Source organism: Homo sapiens, chromosome 19, assembly GCF_000001405.40.
Source record: "Homo sapiens chromosome 19, GRCh38.p14 Primary Assembly".
Lineage (NCBI taxonomy): Eukaryota > Metazoa > Chordata > Mammalia > Primates > Hominidae > Homo > Homo sapiens.
Window position 1 is genome coordinate 23,549,882 of NC_000019.10, and position 20,383 is coordinate 23,570,264.

General features: G+C 46.1%; 2 long non-coding RNA genes across 3 annotated transcripts, besides 1 other annotated feature; both read left to right on the forward strand.

The window, feature by feature from the left end:
* On the forward strand, positions 1 to 8,967 carry LOC105372338 (uncharacterized). Of its 2 annotated transcripts, none has more exons than XR_936486.2 (3): positions 1 to 168; positions 1,834 to 1,928; positions 7,562 to 8,967. It is a non-coding gene; the product is annotated as an uncharacterized LOC105372338 (long non-coding RNA). The 2 variants fall into 2 exon arrangements; XR_001753885.2 differs by having other exon boundaries at positions 8,441 to 8,967.
* Positions 8,968 to 15,846: 6,879 nt separating this feature from the next.
* On the forward strand, positions 15,847 to 19,486 carry LOC105372339 (uncharacterized). Its single transcript, XR_936488.3, has 3 exons — positions 15,847 to 16,100; positions 19,211 to 19,302; positions 19,387 to 19,486. It is a non-coding gene; the product is annotated as an uncharacterized LOC105372339 (long non-coding RNA).
* Positions 19,926 to 20,220: a silencer, noted in NCBI's record as "tiled region #124; K562 Repressive non-DNase unmatched - State 2:TssF". NCBI's record gives its function as "represses a minimal TATA promoter and a strong SV40 promoter by Sharpr-MPRA in K562 cells {active_cell/tissue: K562}" and the evidence as "EXISTENCE:reporter gene assay evidence [ECO:0000049][PMID:27701403]".

The window sequence follows — 20,383 nt, forward strand, 5'->3', positions numbered from 1 at the left end:
ATCTCTTCACACAGACATGCGTGACATTTGGTGCTGAAGACCCGGGATGGGGGACTCCTTCGGGAGACTGGTCCCCTGTCCTCACCCTCACTCCATGAGGAGATCCACCTACAACCTCGGGTCCTCAGTCCAACCAGCCTAAGGAACATCTCACCAATTTCAAATCAGGTAAGCGGTCTTTTCACTTTCTTCTCCAGCCTCTCTTACTACCCTTCAATCTCCTTGTCCTTCCAATTCCAGTTCTTTTTCATCTCTAGTAGAGACAAAGGAGACACATTTTATCCATGAACCCAAAACTCTGGCACCAGTCATGGACTCAGGAAGACAGTCTTCCCTTAGTGTCTGATCATCATGGGGATGCCTGCCCTGATTATTCACCCACATTCCATTGGTGTCTGATCATCGTAGGGATGCCTGTCCTGATCACCCACATTCCATTGGTGTCTGATCACCGCAGGGATGCCTGCCTTGGTCATTCACCCACATTCCCTTGCTGGCAAGACAATTGTGGGGATGCCTGCTTTGGCTGCTCACCCATGTTACAGCCCAGGGCTGCTCACCCCACACCCTTCTCCACATCTCTACCCTTCTCTTCAAACTTCACTATGGGTTACCTTCCACCCTCCATTCCCCCTTCTTCTCCCTTAGCCTGTGTTCTCAAGAACTTAAAACCTTTTCAACTCACACCTGACCTAAAACCTAAATGCCTTATTTTCTTCTGCAACACTGCCTGGCCCCAATACAAACTTGACAATGGTTCCAAATGGCCAGAAAATGGCACTTTTGATTTCTCCATCTTACAAGACCTGGATGACTTTTGTCAAAAATGGGCAAATGGTCTGAGGTTCTAGACATCCAGGCATTCTTTTACACATCGGTCCCTCCCTAGTCTCTGCTCCCAATGTGACTCATCCCAAATCTTTCTTCTTTCTCTCCTGTCTGTTCCTTCAGTCTCCACCCCAAGTTCTGAGTCCTTTAAATCTTCCTTTTCTAAGGACCCATCTGACCTCTCTTCTCCTCCCCAGGCTGCTGCTCACCAGGATGAGCCAGGTCCCAGTTCTTCCTCAGCCTCTGTTCCCCGACCCTATAATCCTTCTATGACCTCCCCTTCTCACACTTGGTCCAGCTTACAACTTTGTTCCACAACTAGCTCTCCCCCACCTGCCCAAAAATTTCCTCTTAAAGAGGTGGCTGGAGCTAAAGGCATAGTCAAGGTTAATGCTCCTTTTTCTTTATCCGACCTCTCCCAAATCAGTTAGCATTTAGGCTCTTTTACATCAAATATAAAAACCCAGCCCAGTTCATGGCCCGTTTGGCAACAACTCTTAGATGCTTTACTGCCCTAGACCCAGAGAGGCCAGAAGGCCGTCTTATTCTCAATATGCATTTTATTACCCAATCCACTCCTGACATTAAAAAAAGCCCCAAAAATTAGATTCCAGCTGTAAAACCCCACAACAGGACTTAATTAACCTCACCTTCAAGGTGTACAGTAATAGAGAAGAGGCAGCCAAGCGGCAATGTATTTCTGAGTTGCAATTACTTGCCTCTGCTGTGAGAGAAACCCCAGCTACATCTCCAGCACACAAGAACTTCAAAACTCCTAAACTGCAGGGGCCAGGTGTTCCTCCAGGACCTCCTCCCCAGGATCTTGCTTCAATTGCCAGAAATCCGGCCACTGGGCCAGGGAATGCCCGCAGTCCAGGATTCCTCCTAAGCCGTGTCCCATCTGTGCAGGACCCCACTGGAAGTTGGACTGTCCAACTCACCTGGCAGCCACTCCTAGAGCCCCTAGAATTCTAGCCCAAAGCTCTCTGACTGACTCCTTCCCAGATCTTGGCTTAGTGGCTGAAGACTGATGCTGCCCAATTACCTCGGAAGCCTCCTGGACCATCACAGATACTTTGAGTAATCTCTTATAGTGGAAGGTAAGTCCATCCCCTTCTTAATCAATATGGAGGCTACCCACTCCACATTCAAGAGTCTGTTTCCTTTGCCTCCGTAACTGTTGTGGGTATTGATGGCCAGGCTTCTAAACCTCTTTAAACTCCCCAAATCTTGTACCAACTTGGACATTCTTTTATACACTCTTTTTTAGTTATCCCCACCTGCCCAGCTCCCTTATTAGGTTGAGACATTTTAACTAAATTTTCTGCTTCCATGACTATTCCTGGGCTACAGCCACACCTCATTGCCCCCCTTTTCCCCAGTTCAAAGCCTTCTTTGCATTCTCCCCTTGTGTCTCCCTACCTTAATCCACAAGTATGGGATACCTGTACTCCCTCCTTTGTGATCGATCATGCACCCCTTACCATCCCATTAAAACCTAATTACCCTTACCCCACTCAATGCCAGTATCCCATCCCACAATAGGCTTTAAGGGGACTAAAGCCTGTTATCACTCGCCTGTTAGAGCATGGCCTTTTAAAGCCTACAAACTCTCCTTACAACTCTCCTATCCTACCTTTCCAAAAACCAGACAAGTCTTACAGTCTCGTCCAGGATCCGCATCTTATCAACCAAATTTTCTTGCCTATCCACCCCATGGTGCCAAACCCATATACTCTCCTATCCTCATTTCCTCCCTCCACAACCCATTATTCTGTTCTGTATCTCAAAGATGCTTTCTTTACTATTCCTTCACACCCTTCATCCCAGCCTCTTTTTGCTTTCTCTTGGACTGACCCTTACACTCATCAGTCTCAGCAACTCACCTGGACTGTTCGCCCCAAGGGTTCAAGGAGAGCCCACACTACTTTGGCCAGGCCCTTTCTCATTATCTGCTTTCTGTTTGCTCATCTGCCTTCCACCTTATTCAATATTTTCATGATCTTCTTTGTAGCCCCTCTTACCAATCTTCCCAGCAGGACACTATCCTGCTTCTTCAACATCTCTACTCAAAGGGATACAGAGTATCCCCCTCCAAGACACAAATTTCTTCCCCTAGCATTACCTATCTCAGTATAATCTTCCATTGACATACACGTGCCTTCCCGTAGACCAGGTTCAGTTAATCTCCCAGACCCCAATCCCCACCACCACACAACTCCTTTCCTTCTTAAGCATTGTTGGTTATTTCTGACTCTAGATACCAGGTTTTGCTATCCTAACCAAACCACTTTACAAACTCACAAAGGGTAACTTAACTGATCCCACAGACCATAAGTCTTTTCCCCATTCTTCTTTTCACTCTCTCAAAAAGGCCCTGGAGGCAGCTCCTACACTAGCACTCCCCGACTTATCCCATCCTTTTTCCTTACACACAGCTGAAATACAAGGCTGTGCTGCTGGAGTCCTCACACAGGAGCCAGGCCCATGACCTGTTGCCTTTCTATCAAAACAACTTGACCTCACAATTCTGGGGTAGCCCTCATGTCTATGTGCAGAAGCTGCCACTGCTTTAATACTTTTAGGCACCCTCAAAATCACAAGCTATGCTCCACTTACTCTCTACAGTTCCCATAGCTTTCAAAATCTATTTCCCCCTTTCCTGTTCCCCACCCAGACCACACTTGGTTTACTGATGGTAGTTCTTCCAGGTCCAATTGCCAATCACCGGCAAAGGCAGGTTATGCTATAGTGTCTTCCACATCTATCATTGAGGCTACAGCCCTGCCCCCTTCCACTACCTCTCAACAAGCAGAACTCATTGCCTTAACTTAAGCCCTCATTCTTGCAAAGGGACTAGCTGTCAATATCTATACTGATTCCAAGTATGCCTTCCACATCCTTTACCACCATGCTGTTATATGGGCAGAAAGAAGTTTCCTCACTACACAGGGGTCCTCCATCATTAACACCTCCTTAATAAAAACTCTTCTTAAAGCTGCTCTACTTCCAAGGAAGCTAGGGTAGTTCACTGCAAGGGCCATCAAAAGGCATCAGATCCCATTGCTCAGGGCAACGCTTATGCTGATAAGGTAGCTAAAGAAGCAGTTAGCATTCCAACTTTGGTCCCTCATGGTCAGTTTTTCTCGTTCTCATCTTTTCACTTTACATTTCCAGTTATGCCTTACAAAGGTCCCTTCTTCCTCTGTGGCTCCTCCACCTACATGTGTCTACCTATTAATTGGACAGGCACATGTACACTAGTTTCCTTTACTCCCAAAAATCATTTCACAAATAGGACTGAACAGCTTCCTGTTCCCCTCATGACACCAACACTTCACCACTATTTTGTTTTATTTTTCTTATTAGTATAAGAAGACAGAAATAGGCCTTGAATTACTGCTGAAAAAGGAGGACTCTAAATTTTTAAATGAAGGGTGTTGTTTTGACCTAAATCAATCTGGCCTGGTATAGGACAGCATAAAAAAATCACAAGGATTGAGCCCCAAAACTCACCAACCAAGCAAATAATTACACTGAACCCCTTGGGCACTCTCTATTTGGATATCCTGGGTCCTCCCCAATTCTTAGTCCTTTAATACCTGTTTTTCTCCTTCTCTTATTTGGACCTTGTGTCTTCTGTTTAGTTTCTCAACTCATACAAAACTACATCAAGGCCATCACCAATCATTCTATATGACAAATGCTCCTTCTAACAACCCCACAATATAACCCCTTGCCCCAAAATCTTTCTTCAGTTTGACCTCTCCCACTCTAGGTTCCCACGCCACCCCTAATACCACTTGAAGCAGCCCTGAGAAACATCACCCATTATCTCTCCATACCATCCCCCAAAATTTTCACCACCCCAACACTTCACCACTATTTTGTTTGTTTTCCTTATTAATATAAGAAGACAGGAATGTCAGGATTCTGAGCCCAACCCTGCACATACGTATACATCCAGATGGCCTGAAGCAACTAAAAAACCACAAAAGAAGTAAAAATAGCCAATTCCTGCCTTAACTGATGACATCCCACCATTGTAATTTGTTCCTGCCCCACCCTAACTGGTCAATTGACCTTGTGAAATTCCTTCTCCTGGACAATGAGTCTCAGAACCTCCCCACAGAGCACCTTGTAACCCCTGCCCTGCCTGCAAGAGAAAAACCCCCTTTGACTGTAATTTTCCACTACCTACCCAAAGCCTATAAAATTGCCCCACCCCTATCTCCCTTTGCTGACTCCTTTTTCAGACTCAGTCTGCCTGCCTCCAGGTGATTAAAAAGCTTTATTGCTCACACAAAGCCTGTTTGGTCATCTCTTCACACGGACATGCATGACACAACTGATATCCCAGATTATAATTCTGTGCTAAGATTTAAGTAAAATTTAAGAATTTAAAAGACCTCTTTCTAATAATGGCCACTGTTTTTATCTCTCTCTTACCCCTAATGTGACTCTCTCCATTTCCAATTTAAGTAAAGCAGTAGCCTCTGAAGGTAGAGAAATTACAAATGGCTCATGAATTACTTGAAAAGCAAGTAAAAGCTGGGCATGTAGAACCATCTAATAGTCCTTAGAATTCACCCATTTTTGTCATCCCCAAAAAGTCAGGTAAATGGAGGCTTTTACATGACCTACATGCTATTAATGCCAACTTGCAACCTATGGGACCCCTTCAGCAGGGGTTCCCTTCCCCATGGCAGTTCCTCAAGATTGGCCTATAATCATTATTGACTTAAAAGACTGTTTTTATATGATTCCCCTAGCAGAACAGGACAAAGAAAAATTTGTGTTTACAATACCAGCTATCAATAATGAAAGGCCAGCTTGTCAATTTTATTGGAAAGTGCCTCCTCAAGGAATGCTAAACAGTCCTACCATGTGCCAGTATCCTGTAAATAAAGCTTTGCTCCCCAGTATAAAAGAATTTCCTGATTGCAAGATTATTCATTTGATGGATGATATATTACTAACAGTCCCAATGGAGCTGCTACTTTTAAATTTATTTACCTCTATCATAAAGAATACAGTTAAGAGGTTTACTCATAGCACCTGAAAAAGTACAAATGTCCTCTCCTTGGAAACATCTTGGGTACATACTAACTTCCAAGTCAGTAAGACCTCAAAAAGTTAAACTAAATACTAGCAACTTACATACAGTAAATGATTATCAGAACTTACTGGTCAATATTAACTGACTCTACCCCACTTTGGGGATTCCTACTGATAAGTTACAAAACCTGTTTTCTATCTTAACGGGCAATACAGCCCTAGATTATCCCAGAAATTTAACCCCTGCAGCAAACAGGGGAAATTGAGGAAATAGAACAATCCATCTCTCAGAGGCAGCTAGATTGCATATATCCAGGCTACTCAATTCAGTAAAACACTCCCCTAGAGGGTTAATAGGAGAGATAACCCCAGAACTGTGCTTCCTAGATAGTTTTTTTGCTCATATACTGGGACTAAAACACTCTTTCCCTATATCCAATTACTCAGTAAAGTCATCTATTCAGGCCACAAACGATGCAGTCAGTTGCTAGATTATGATCCTGATATCATCAGGATTCCTTTAAGTAAAAGGCAATTCAAAGCAGTATTGCCAGTATCTATCGATCTGCAAATAGCTCTCTCTGATTACCCAGGACATATAGAGCATGTCCTTCCTGCTAATAAACTCCTTCATTTCTTATCTTGTACTCCTGTGATTTTGCCTACAAAAATAGTTCACTTCCCCATACCTAATGCTTTAACACTGTTTACTGACGGTTCAGGTAAACATGGAAAAGTGGCAGTGTGGTGGAGACCATAAAATTCACTCACTCAATCTGGGTTTACTTTCACTCAGAGAGCTGATATTGGGGCCCTGATATTGGCCTTGGAAACTTTTTCCACTCAGCTCATCAATATTGTGAGTGACTCTGCTTACTCTGTTTACTTATTGCAGAATCTTGAGACAACCTTAATTAAGTCCACTCTAAAGTCTGCCCTGTGTGCTCTTTTTCTCTGACTTCAGCAATTGCTAGATCAATGTACACATCCTATTTTTATGGGCACACATTCGATCCCACAGCTCACTGCCTTGCCCATTAACTTATGGCAATTATCAAGCAGACCTTCCTGTTATAACATCACTGCTTAACCAAGCCAGCAAATCACATCAATTCTTCCACCAAAATTAGAAAAACTTATCTAAACAATTTCAACTTACCCAGAGGCTGGCTAAACAAATTATCCTGCAATGCTCAGCTTGCCAGCTTACAGGCATGTCCCCTCCTTCAACAGGTCTAATTAGTGCACACGCCCTTCCCGGAAAGTCCACTCAATATGTCATTAAACATCTTTTAACTTTTGTGTTTATGGGGTGGCCCACAACAATTAAAACTGATAATGGTCCAGCTTATGCCAGCTCACAATTTCAACAGTTTTGCCACACGTGGAATATCCAACATTTCACAGGCATCCCATATAATCCCCAAGGACAAGCCATAGTAGAATGTGCCCATTCCACTCTTAAAAATATGCTCAAAAAACAAAAAAGAGGGAGTATGGGTAAAGACCCTGGAACACTATTGGCACAAGCCTTATTGACCCTTAATTTTCTAAATTTAGATGATAAATTTCAATCAGCTGTAGAAAAGCACTTTGCTAAAACCTCTCAAGACATAAAACCTGCAGTTTTTGTTAACGTGGGGAAGAGGATATGCTTGTGTTCATACCCCCTCAGGTCCTCTTTGGATTCCAGCACGATGCATCAAACCATACCATGGCATGCCTAGGACCCAACCCCATATCAGAAATGAAGAAACTGACCTTACAGTACCCGCAGCCCTGAACAAAGCAGCTTCCACAGATGACACAAGCCCCGGACCTGGGGGATGCTGAAGAGGACAACTCAGGAGGCTGAACGAATCCTGCTCTGGACACTGACACCAATTACTCCAGGAAATTTTTTCCTTGCTATGCTTTCTGTGTATATTGCAACTCACATAGGGTATTGATCCTTTTTGTACTCTTGCTTTGCTGGCCACCTGTACCTGCTACACTCTATTAGGCTCATACTTGAACCCACCTTTCTTTTGCCCTGTCACCTGGGGAGACATCCCCTTCCCAGCCTTTAATAATGTAACTGCTGGCCGGGCGCGGTGGCTCACGCCTGTAATCCCAGCACTTTGGGAGGCCGAGGCGGGCGGATCACGAGGTCAGGAGATCGAGACCATCCTGGCTAACACGGTGAAACCCCGTCTCTACTAAAAATACAAAAAATTAGCCGGGCGTGGTAGCGGGCGCCTGTAGTCCCAGCTACTCGGGAGGCTGAGGCAGGCGAATGGCGTGAACCCGGGAGGCGGAGCTTGCAGTGAGCCGAGATCGCGCCACTGCACTCCAGCCTGGGCGACAGAGCGAGACTCCGTCTCAAAAAAAAAAAAAAAATAAATAAAATAATGTAACTGCTTGGCTAAGAGGGATAGATTTACTCCTAGTAGGGCTCCATAGTAACAGCACACATAGAACTGAAGTGTCAAATAACACTACAGGTCACTCTTTGACTGGAAAAAAATGTTGCTAATTATACTCATGATTGTCTTATGTTATTTGCTAATTCTAGGATGCAAAGTTGGAATAAGAGCAATGACCACCTCTCCTGAGAGACCTGTTTGTTCCCACATCTGTACTCTTCAGTCAACAGAACCTGATGCAAAGAACAGAAAAGGGGAAGATGTGGGGGATTCAGTCAGGATGGTGGGAGAAATTGTAAAATTATAGGAAATAATCACAAACACTTGTGGAAGGCCTGGGGGTTTGCATAAAATGTTGGGCTGAAGGCAGCTGAATTCTCTTAAAAGCTTAGGGCATAGATACACAGAAATGTAGTTTATCTAAATGACTTGTTTACTTATGTGGTCCTAAAACTAACCTTTGATAGTTTATGGGCAGGATAGCTCTCTCAGGGTAGGGGGAGGGCAACCAGATTGATTACCCACTGATGGTGTTGACTCAAAGCCTTCGTCATTTAATATGTGCTGAATAAATGCCAGCAGGGCCAGTGAGTCAGGGCCACAGCTGCAACTCTTTACAGCACTCTCCTTTGAGTCTGTAAGTGGCCTAGACCCTCAGCCGGTCTGACAAGCATAATATCTGTGTTAGTGTACATTATTCATCCATCGTTGGGTCAGGGTCTGCAGGACAGACCCCTAGAAAAATAAAATAAAATTAAAAATAGCCGGGTGTGGTTACACACACCTGTAATCCCACCTACCTGGGAGGCTGAGATAGAATCGCTTGAACACAGGAGGCAGAATTTGCAGTGAGCCGAGATCATGCCACTGCACTCCAGCCTGCGCAATAGATTGAGACTCTATCTCTATATATATATATGTGTGTGTGTGTGTACGTGTGTCACAGGAGAGTCACGTAACCTAGAAGCTGGGTAAACCTATATGACATAATCATCCTTGTGGACAGGGTACAAGAAGAAAGTCACATCACATAAATCCTTCACCAAGAGTCACACCATTTAGGTGATGGGACCAGAGATGTGTCACAATAGTCCATGTAAGCAGAGATCATGCAGAAGGAAGAAATCACCTGTGTGTTGGGTGTAGCAATAAGTCACTCTATTTTCTGTGGGCATGGCCCAGACAGAAGGGGAGAGTCACATCATCTAGGTGCTTGGCCCAGAGATACGTCACAATCTCTACTATGGGCAAAGCCAAGGTAAGAAAGGAGAGCCACATCAAATTGTTGATAGGCCAAGAAATATGCCACAATGCCCCAAGTAGGCAGGGTCTGAGCAGGAGACAAATGACATTCATGTTGGGCACTGCAATATGTCACAATGTCTTTTGAGGGCAGGCCAGGCAAAATAACCTTGGTGTTGGGCCCAGCAATACGTCAGTTTTCTTGCAGAAGAGAAGAATCACATCAGCTCAGTGCTGAAACCAGCAATACATATCGTTATCCCCCAGTGAGCAGGGATCAGTCCAGTGAAAAGATTCACATCACCTATGTGATCCACACAGAAATGCATCACAATTTCCCTAGAAGGCAGTGCCCTGGAAGAACGGTTACATCACGTGGGTATTGAAAGCAGCTATACTTCACAATGGTCTATGTAGGCAGGCCATAGGTGGCAAAGACCCATCACCTGGGTGCTGAGTCCAAGGATATGTCAGAATTTTCCTGAGAGAAAGGCTCAGGTGGGAGAGAAACACCTTCTAATTGCTGGGCCCAGTGATATGTCACAATCTTCTCTGTGGGAAGAATGCAGATAAAAGAGGAGAGTCACACCTTTCTAGGTAATGAAGACAGAGACATGCCATCAAGCCTCCTGTGGGCAAGGCACAGGCAGAAGCCTCTCATCCCCTAGGTGTTGGGCCCAGAGATATATCACAATACTCACAATATGCCATGCCCTGGCAATAGAGGTAAGTCACATTACCTAGGTGCTGGGTCCAGAGATATGTCACAATCCCTATTTTGTCAAGGCCCAGGCATAAATGGAGAGTCACATCACCTGAGTGAAAAATGAAAAGATATGTCATCATACCCTTGTGGGCTAAGCCCATGCGGGAGGGTCACTTCACGTAGGTGCTGGCCCCAGTGATGTGTCACAATACATAATGTATGCAGGGCCAAGGCAACAGAAGAGTAACATTACCTAGGATACTAGCCCAGTGATATATCAAAATCTTTTTCTGTCAGTAGAGAGTCACATAACCTAGGTTCTTAGTCCAGCAATATGGCATAGTACCCCTTGAGGGGAGGGCCTAGGCAGGAGAGTCACATCACTTAGGTTAGCAGCCAAGAGACATGTCACAATGTCCACTGTGGGAAGGGTTCAAGAAAAGAGGAGAGTAACATAACCTAGCGGCTAGGCTATGTGTGATAATCACCTCAGGTGATCCACCCGCTTCGGCCTCCCACAATCCTGGGATTACAGGCATGAGCCTTCTGCCTTGTTTTAGATGGAGCCTCACTTTGTCACCCAGGCTGGAGTGCAGTGGCATGGTCTCAGCTCACTGCAAACTCTGCCTCCCAGATTCAAGCAATTCTCCTGCCTCAGCCTCCCGAGTAGCTGGGACTACAGGCACGTGCCACCATGCCCAGCTAATTTTTTGTATTTTTAGTGGAGACAGGGTTTCACTGTTTTAGCCAGGATGCTCTCAATCTCCAGACCTCATGGTCCGCCCACCTTGGCCTCCCAAAGTGTTGGGATTATAGGCGTGAGCCACCTTGCCAGGCCTGCCCTTCTTTTAAGAAGAAACTGTGGCTGGTCACAGTGGCTTATGCCTGTAATCCCAGCACTTTGAAAGGCTGAGGCGGGCAGATCACCTGAGGTCAGGAGTTCGAGACCAGCCTGGCCAACATGGTGAAACCCCATCTCTACTAAAAATACAAAAAATTAGCTGGGTGTGATGGTGCAGGCCTGTAATCTCAGCTACTTTGGAAGCTGTGACAGGAGAATCACTTGAACCCAGGAAGCGGAGGTAGCAGTGAGCTGAGATCACGCAACTGCACTCCAGCCTGGGCAACAAGAGCAAAACTCCATCTCCCCCCACCCCCAAAAAACAGAAAAGAAAAAGAAAAAGAAAAGAAAGAAGGACAGAGGCAGTAGAGTCACGTCACGTGGGTGCCGGGCTCAGTGATATGTCACAATGCTCCCTGTGAGCAAAGCCCAGGCAGGAGAAACACATCACCTGATTTCTGGGCTGAAAAATATGTCACAATCTCTTCTTTATATAAGCAAAGCCTTGGCATAGCAAGAGAGTCACAACAAATAGTTGATTTTCCCAAAGGTATTTCACAATGCTCTGTTGTCAGGGTTCTGACAGGAGACCCTCATCACCTTGTTATTGGGCCCAGAAATATGTCACAATGCCTTTTGAGGTCTAGGCCAAGGCAGAACAGTAATTTCACATTGGTGCTGAGCCCCACAGTATGTCCCAATCTCTTATCCAAGCAAAACTTATGATGAAAAGAAGAGTCACCCTGTTGGTAGTGGGCCAAGTGATATGTCACAATCCCTAGTTTTTGGAGAAACCAGGCAGAAGACAGTCACATCACCTGGGTGATGGATGGAAAGATATGTCACTATGCCCCTTGATGGCAGAACCCAGGCAGTAGAGTTAAATTACCAGGGTGTTTGACCCAGCAGTGTTTTACAATTGCTTATGTGGCAAGGCACAGCAAGGTGTCACAATGTCCCTTGCAAGCAGCACTAACACAGAATAGAGTCATATACCCTCAGTTCTGGGTTCAGCAAAATGTCACTATCCCATCTGTGGGCTGGACCATGCAAGAGTCAGATCACTCAGCTGATGAACAGAGAAAAATGTCACAATTAAACCTGCAGGAGGTTCAGGGATGAAATTAACAATCCCACACATGTCCCGGTATTAGGTATAGGAGGTTAACACTTCCTATATATTGTGTCTAAGAACAGGAGTTACAATGGCAATGGTTGACTGAATTTGTGCATGAGAGCCTCAACTCCTCCTGCAGACTGTCTAATTAGTGAAGTCACAGCCTCATAGGTGTGCTGAATCTTGCTCTGAGTGTCACCAACTCACCAGTGAACTGGATCCACATCTGAGAGTCAAGTTTCCGGCCTTTGACTGCCTATAGGTGTGAGATTCAGAACCTCAAAAGTGCGCTGTGTTCATGTGGGAAAATGACAATGTATACTGTGTGTGGGTGTGCATACAACTGTCACAATTTTCCCTGTGAGCTGGGCCCTGTTAGTACACTCTCTATACTACCCAAAGGCTTTATACAGTGTCAATGAGAATCACAATTCAGTCTGAGATCTTCATCTTTGTTTCCCCAAGGGAGAATCTTTTCCCCCCCCACCAAGATGGAGTCTTGCTCTGTTGCCCAGGCTGGTGTGCAGTGGCACGATCTCAGCTCACTGCAACCTCTGCCTCCTGGGTTGAAGCAATTTTCCTGCCTCAGCTTCCCGAGTAGATGGGATTACAGGCATCCACCACCATGCCCAGCTAATTTTTGTATTTTTAGTAGAGATGGGGTTTCACCATGTTGGCCAGGATGTCTTGAACTCCTGACCTCATGATCTGCCCGCCTTGGCCTCTCAAAGTGCTGGGGTTAAGTCGTGAGCCACCGTGTCTGGCCAGATCTTCATCTTTGTATGCAACCACAACCATACCTATGGCCCTATGCCCAGATATTAGAGTCAACATCTCTCCAATTGGCTGGGTCCAGATAGTAGAGTCCTCACTGCTTATGTTCTGGGTTTAGAACTGTGTCATCATTCAAACAGTGGTTGGATGCTCACATATGACAGTCACAATTCCAACTATGGGCTGTGTTTGCATGGGAAATTCAAGACCTCAGCAATGGGCTCTTTCTCTGTGTGAGGGTGATAATCCTAATGGCTGGTGAGGTGTGCATATAAGAAACAAAATCTCACCAATGTGCTGTGCCCTGTGATAACACTCTCTCTAACACTTGAAGGCATTATATTATAGGTGGGGTTGTGGCAATCCTGTATGACCTGCATACAAAGAGAGGACCCAGGATGTTGCTCATTTTTCTAAGTCGAGCTATGAAAGACAGTATCTTTTCTAATAGCTGATTTGATTAATGAAAGCCATCATCACATTTGTAAGCTGACAACAGTGTATGTCATAATTAGGTAGGGACCTAGCAGGAGAGTCACATCACCTGGATTTCAGCCAAGGATATCTCACAATCTTCCCTGAGGGAGGCAGCCAAGCAGGAGTGTCACATCACCTGGGTGCTCAGCTAGGGATATGTTACAATTCTCTCCTGAAAGCACAGCACAGGCAACAGACTCATGTCACCTGGGTGCTGAGCTCAGCACTATGTCACAATGCTCGCTGGGGTCAAGACAAAGACAGAAGAGCCACATCACCTGGTGTCTGGTTCCAGGGATATGTCACAATCCTTCCTGTGAAGGGGATTATAAAATGTCATATCTTCTAGGTCATGGATGCAGATATATGTCACAAGGTCCCTGTGGGCAGAGCCCAGGCAGGAACATACTATCCTATAGGTGTTGGGCCTAATGATATTTTAAAATAACCAAAATATGGGAGGCCCAGGCAAAACAGGAGAGTCACATCACTTACATGCTGGGTCCAGTGATACGCCACAATACCCCTTTTTGGCAGGGCCTAGGCAGAAGACCATTACATTGCCTAGTTGATGAATGAAAAGATATGTTATGTCCGGGCACGGTAGCTCAAGCCTGTAATCCCAGCACTTTGGGAGGCCGAGGCAGGTGGATCACAAGGTCAAGAGATCAAGACCATCTTGGCCAACATGGTGAAACCCCGTCTCTACTAAAAATACAAAAATCAGCTGGGCATGGTGGCAGGCACCTGTAGTCCCAGCTACTGGGGAGGCTAAGGCAGGAGAATCGCTTGAACCTGGGAGGTGAAGGTTGCAGTGAGCCGAGATTGCACCACTGCACTCCAGCCTGGCAACAGAGCGAGACTCCGTCTCAAAAAAGTAAAAAGGAAAGATACGTTATAATACCTCTGGGCTCAAAAATATGTCAAAATGCCTTATGTAGGTAGGGCTCTGGAAAAAAAAAAAAATCACATGACCTAAGGGCTGGGGTCAGCTACAAGTAACAAACTCCCTAGTTGGCAGGACCCATGCATGAGAGAAGAGTCACATCACTTAGGTGCTGGGCTCAGCGACATGTAACAAAGCTTTTTGGCAGGGCCCAGGCAGAAGAGGAGTGTCACATCACCTAGGTGATTAATAAAATGATAGCTCATAATACCCCTATGGGCAGGGCCCACGCAGGAGAGTTGCATTATCTAGGAGGTGGAGTCAGTGATATGTGTCAACACACAATGTGTGCAGGTCCCAGGCTGGAGAGGAGTCACCTCATCTAGGTTATTGACCCAGTGATACATCACAATTATTTTTTGGGCAGAGACCAAACAATAGAGAAGAGTCACATCACCTAGATGCTGGGCCCAGCTATGTATCACAACACCCTGAGAAGAGGGCCCAAACAAAAGATTTGCATCACCTAACTGAGGGTCTCAGACATATGACACAATTCCCGCTGTGGGTAGGGCTCAGGAAGAACTGTAGAGTCACATAACCTTGGAGCTGGGCCCAACTATATGTCAAAATCATCTCAGTGAGTGGGGACCAGGAATAAGAGGAGAGTCAAATCATGAAGGTGAAGGGCCAAGCAATGTCACACTCCCCAGTGTGGACAGGTCCCAGGAGGAAGAGCCACATAATGTCAGTGATGGGCCCAGATATATGTCACAATGAATTCCGTGAGCCAGAAGAAGAATCACATCACCCGTGTGCTAAACTCAGTAATAAGTCACTCTCTCCTCTGTGGGCAAGGCACAGGCAGGAGAGGAGAGTCACATAACCTCTGTTCTGGGCCCAAAGTTATGTCACAATCTCTTTTTGGGCAACATCCAGGTAGAGAGAAGAGTCACATAAAATAGTAAATGGCCCAGAGATGTATCTTGTAGGTACCTTGCAGGAAGGGTCAGGAAGGAGACTCACATCACATTGCTTCTGGGCCCAGCAATACATCACCATGCCTTCTGAGGGCAGTGGCAAGGCTAAAGAGTAACGTTACTTTAGTATTAGACCCAGTGACATGTCACAGTATCCCCTGCAGGCAGAACCTAAGACAAGGAGGAGAGTTATGTCAGCTAGGTGCCAAGCCCAGTGATATGTCACAATCCCTTCTGTGAGCAGGAGCCACGTAGGAGAACAGAGTCATATTACCTGTGTGATGGGTGCAGGGATGTCACAATGTCCTCTGTAGGCAGGACCTAGGCAGTATGGTTACCTCACCTGGGTGTGTGACAGAGCAATATGTCACAATGACCCACATGGGAAGAGCACAAGCAGAAGAGTCACATAACCTGAGTGTGGGGCCCAGCGATATGACACAATGCCCCCTGTGGAAGAGACAAGGCAGGAGAGAAGATTCACACCACCTGGGTACAAACTCAGTGATATGTCACAATGTCCTCTGTGGGCAGTGCCAAGGCAGTAGAATTGTCACACCACCTCTCTGGGTCCAGGGATATGTCACAATCCCATTTGTGGCCTGGGCCCAGGGAGGAGCATCAAATCACTCTGGTGCTGGGTAAAGTGATATGTCATAATCACACCAGCAGGAATGTTTAGGGATGAGATTATGCATCTGGACTGGAAAGAATCAACACATCAAAAATATTACCAGACTGTGCAAGATGGCTCATGCCTGTAATCCCAGCACTTTGGAGGCCAAGGTGAGGGGATATCTGGAGGCCAGGATTTGGAGACTATCTTGGGGGCAATGTGGTGGACGAGACCTCTATTGAACAATAATAATAAAAGTTTAAAAAAGAAGCTGGGTGTGGTGGCTCACGCCTCTAATCCCAGCTACTCAGGAGGCTGAGGCAGGAGAATCGCTTGAACCTGGGAGGTGGAAGTTGCAGTGAGCTGAGAATGCACAATTGCACTCCAGCCTGGGGGACAAGAGTGAAACTCCTTCCCCCCAAAAATGAATGAATGAATAAATAAATAAATAAATCCGAGGTCAACTGGGTGCAGTGGCTCATGCCTGTAATCCCAAAACTTTGGGAAGATGAAGCAGACAGATCACAAGGGCAGGAGTTCGAGACCAGCCTGGTCAATATGGTGAAACCCCATCTCTACTAAAAATACAAAAATTAGCCAGGCGTGGTGGCGGGTGCCTATAGTCCCAGCTACTCAGGAGGTTGAGGCAGGAGAATCGCTTGAACCTGGGAGGTAGAGGTTGCAGTGAGCCGAGATCATGCCACTGCATTCCAGCCTGGGAAACAGAGTGATACTCCATCTCAAAAAATATATATATTAATATTAATAATTCTGAGGTCCTAGAGAAAAACAGTCTTGAGTCAAAAATACAAAAGACCTATTTAGCAGTTAGAATAGTTTGTATATATTTCAACTAGGCAGGAAAAGAATTTACATACAAAAGTTTTGTACAGAAAATGATTTAAGAAAAGAAAAGAGAAAAATCTCTGCCCTTATTTTCAAGAAGGGTGAAGCCTGTATTTGTAATTTGTATCTTTTTTTACAACATCCAGGTCTAGGGCCATAATCTTGAACTCATGGACATCTGAATTCTAGTAGGTGCTAGATTCAGGAACCTGAGGGCTGGCCTTGGGCACATTCTGCACATCAAAAAGTGTTTGTGGGGAAGTAAAAGACAGAAGAGGGAAAGATGCTATCAATAACTCATTAATAGGGGACAGTGCATGGTAACTGGGAGGACTCTTATGCTACAGATACTAACCAAGGCAGGGCTATATTCTGACATATTCCTGTGTCCATGCAGGCAGATGAGATTACGATTGGTGGCTCACAAGCCCAGGTTGATGAAGAGATCAGGTTGTGCTGCAGTTTCACGGTCTGGAATAGAGATTAGCCAGGAGTCCTCTATGAACTTGTATAATTTTTTGGTGAGAAATTCTAGGGGCAAAGGCACTATACACATAATTCCTGAGAGTCAAAGTACACTTATGGTATGTGTACACTTATGGTACACAAAGTACACTTATGGTATGTGAAATACACTTATGGGGTTGGGCACGGTGGCTCACGCCTATAATCCTAGCACTTTGGGAGGCCAAGGCAGGTGGATCACCTGGGGTCAGGAGTTAGAGACCAGACTGGCCAAAATGGTGAAACACTGTCTCTACTAAAAATACAAAAAATTAGCTGGAGGTAGTGACACATGCCTGTAGTCCCAGCTACTCATGAGGCTGAGGTAGGAGAACTACTTGAACCCAGGAGGCAGAGGTTGTAGTGAGCGAAGATCATGCCATTGCTCTCCAGCCTGGGTGACAAGAGCAAGACTCCGTCTCAAAAAAAAAAAAAAAAAAAAAGAAAGAAAAAGAAATACACTACTTATGGATTTCCTGAAGGTCAAAATACACTTATGGTATAGTGTTGTATGTTGGAGAGAGGAAGATGGCCTCATTTCCAAAATTTGAGAATGTAGGAACAAAAGTGGAAATTTACAATTTTACTGCAAGCCTGAGTTAGGCTAGGGGAAAACGGTGGTGGCTTAGAGGCCCTGCTTGTCATACATTAGAAAGACCAGTCTTCCTGTGGAGAGTTAAAATAATTAAACCACTCTCCCTCTCCCTCTCTCTCTCCCTCTCCCTCTCCCTCTTTCTTCTGTCTCCCTCTGTTGCCGAGGCTGGACTGTACTGCTGTGGTCTCGGGTCACTGCAGCCTCCCTGCCCCGGGCTCCCGTGGTTCTCCTGCCTCGGCCTGCTGAGTGCCTGGGACTGCGGGTGCACGCCGCCACACCTGACTGATTTTTGTATTTTTGGAGGAGACGGGGTTTCGCCATGTTGACCTGGCTGGTCTCCAGCTCCTGACCTCTAGTGGTCTGCCCACCTCGGCCTCCTGGGGTGCTGGGATTGCAGACGGAGTTCTCGCTCACTCAGTGCTCAGTGTTGCCCAGGCTGGAGTGCAGTGGCATGATCTCGGCTCGCCACAACCTCCACCTTCCAGCCGCCTGCCTTGGCCTCCCAAAGTGCTAAGATTACAGCCTCTGCCCAGCCGCCACCCCGTCTGGGAAGTGAGGTGCACCTCTGCCCAGCTGCCCCATCAGGGAAGTGAGGAGCACCTCTGCCCGGCCGCCCCATCTGGGAAGTGAGGAGCCCCTCTGCCCGGCCGCCCCATCTGGGAAGTGAGGAGCGCCTCTGCCAGGCCACCCCATCTGGGAAGTGTACCCAACAGCTCTGAAGAGACAGCGACCATCGAGAATGGCCCATGATGATGATGGCAGTTTTGTCAAAAAGAAAAGAAGGAAATGTGGGGAAAAGAAAGAGAGGTCAGATTGTTACTATGTCTGTGTAGAAAGAAGTTGACATAGGAGACATCATTTTGTTCTGTACTAAGAAAAATTCTGCCTTGGGATGCTGTGAATCTATAACCTTAACCCCAACCCCGTGCTCTCTGAAACATGTGCTGTGTCAACCCAGGGTTAAATGGATTAAGGGCAGTGCTTAAACAGATGCTTGAAGGCAGCATGCTCATTAAGAGTCATCACCACTCCCTAATCTCAAGTACCCAGGGACACAAACACTGCTGAAGGCCACAGGGACCTCTGCCTAGGAAAACCAGAGACCCCTGTTCACGTGTTTATCTGCTGACCTTCTCTCCACTATTATCCTATGACCCTGCCACATCCCTCTCTGAGAAACACCCAAGAATGATCAATAAATACTAAAATAAATAAATAAATAAATAAAAATAATTAAACAGCGGGAAATTAGACTGAAGTGGCTCTAGTGCCCTGTGTTCATAAGTAAAACATCTAAAACCTAACTAATGCATTTCTTATAAATTACTCTCTTAGGGAGAAAAAAACTCAGGCCTAAGTGATTATAAACCTGCAATTAACCTCTGGTTACAAAACCAGGAAATTTACACCTGGATCATACAAATAAGGTAACTACATAACTGTAATCCATTCTTGAATCTGGTTTGCCTTCTCAAGCACTTTATAAAACCCTTTTTTTTTATCCCCCTCAGGTGGACCACAAATCAGGGCCGGGTGCTTTCCATTTCACCAATCACGGTTTGTTCAAATAAACCCGTTAATGTTTTAACATTGACTCCCTTTAGTTTTAACAGAAGAGACCATGCACCTGGTGGCTCAGGCCTGTAATCCCAGCACTTTGGGAGGCCGAGGTGGGCAGGTCACTTGAGGCCAGTAGTTTCAGACAAGCCTGGTCAACATCGCAAAACCCCGTCTCTACTAAAAATACAAAAATTAACCAGGCGAAGTGCAAAGGTAATCCCAACTATTCGAGAGGCTGAGGCATGAGAATTGCTTGAGCCTGGGAGGAGGTTACAGTAAACCAAGATCGCACCACTAAAGTTTACTCTGGGAGACAGAGTGAGCCTCTGTCTCTCCATCTTAACAAAAAAAAAATAACAAGAGAGAATGAAGACCCCATGGGCCACAGCTCCTCCCATGCACACACCAAGTCAGGATTCTGCCCTGATGACCCCCCTGGCATCCCTGAACACTCTGGGAAATACTCGGGGCTGCAGGTGCAGAGCTGCCCAGAGAGCTCCATGTAGGGCGCCCCCCAGGCACCAGGTGCGATGCCAGGGTCCTGGCTGCAGGCCCACCTGCCATCTTGCAGCCAGAGGGCCTGGGGAGGAGCCGAGCCAGTGGGGACTCAGGACGGCAACATGGGAGCAGACTCTGGGGAGGCCGGTCCCGTGATTTCACAGCCTGGTCTCCCCTCTCTGGATGCCCAACCCTGCATACTCACCATTTCCCAGCTTCCAGGATGTCCTGGCATCTTAGCTATGCGTCTCCCAGGACCTGCATCACAGGGCAACAGAGGCTGTGACAGAGTCACTGGGGGCTCCCAAGGAGGAGGACGCAAAACCGGAAGAGGACGCAGAACAGTGGAAATGAATTCCAAGCTCTGGAGGGAGGGAGAAAAAGGCCCACCAAATGCTAGAAGCCACGCCCTCCTCTCTGAGAGCCTGATTGGGCAGTTCCCATGCCAGC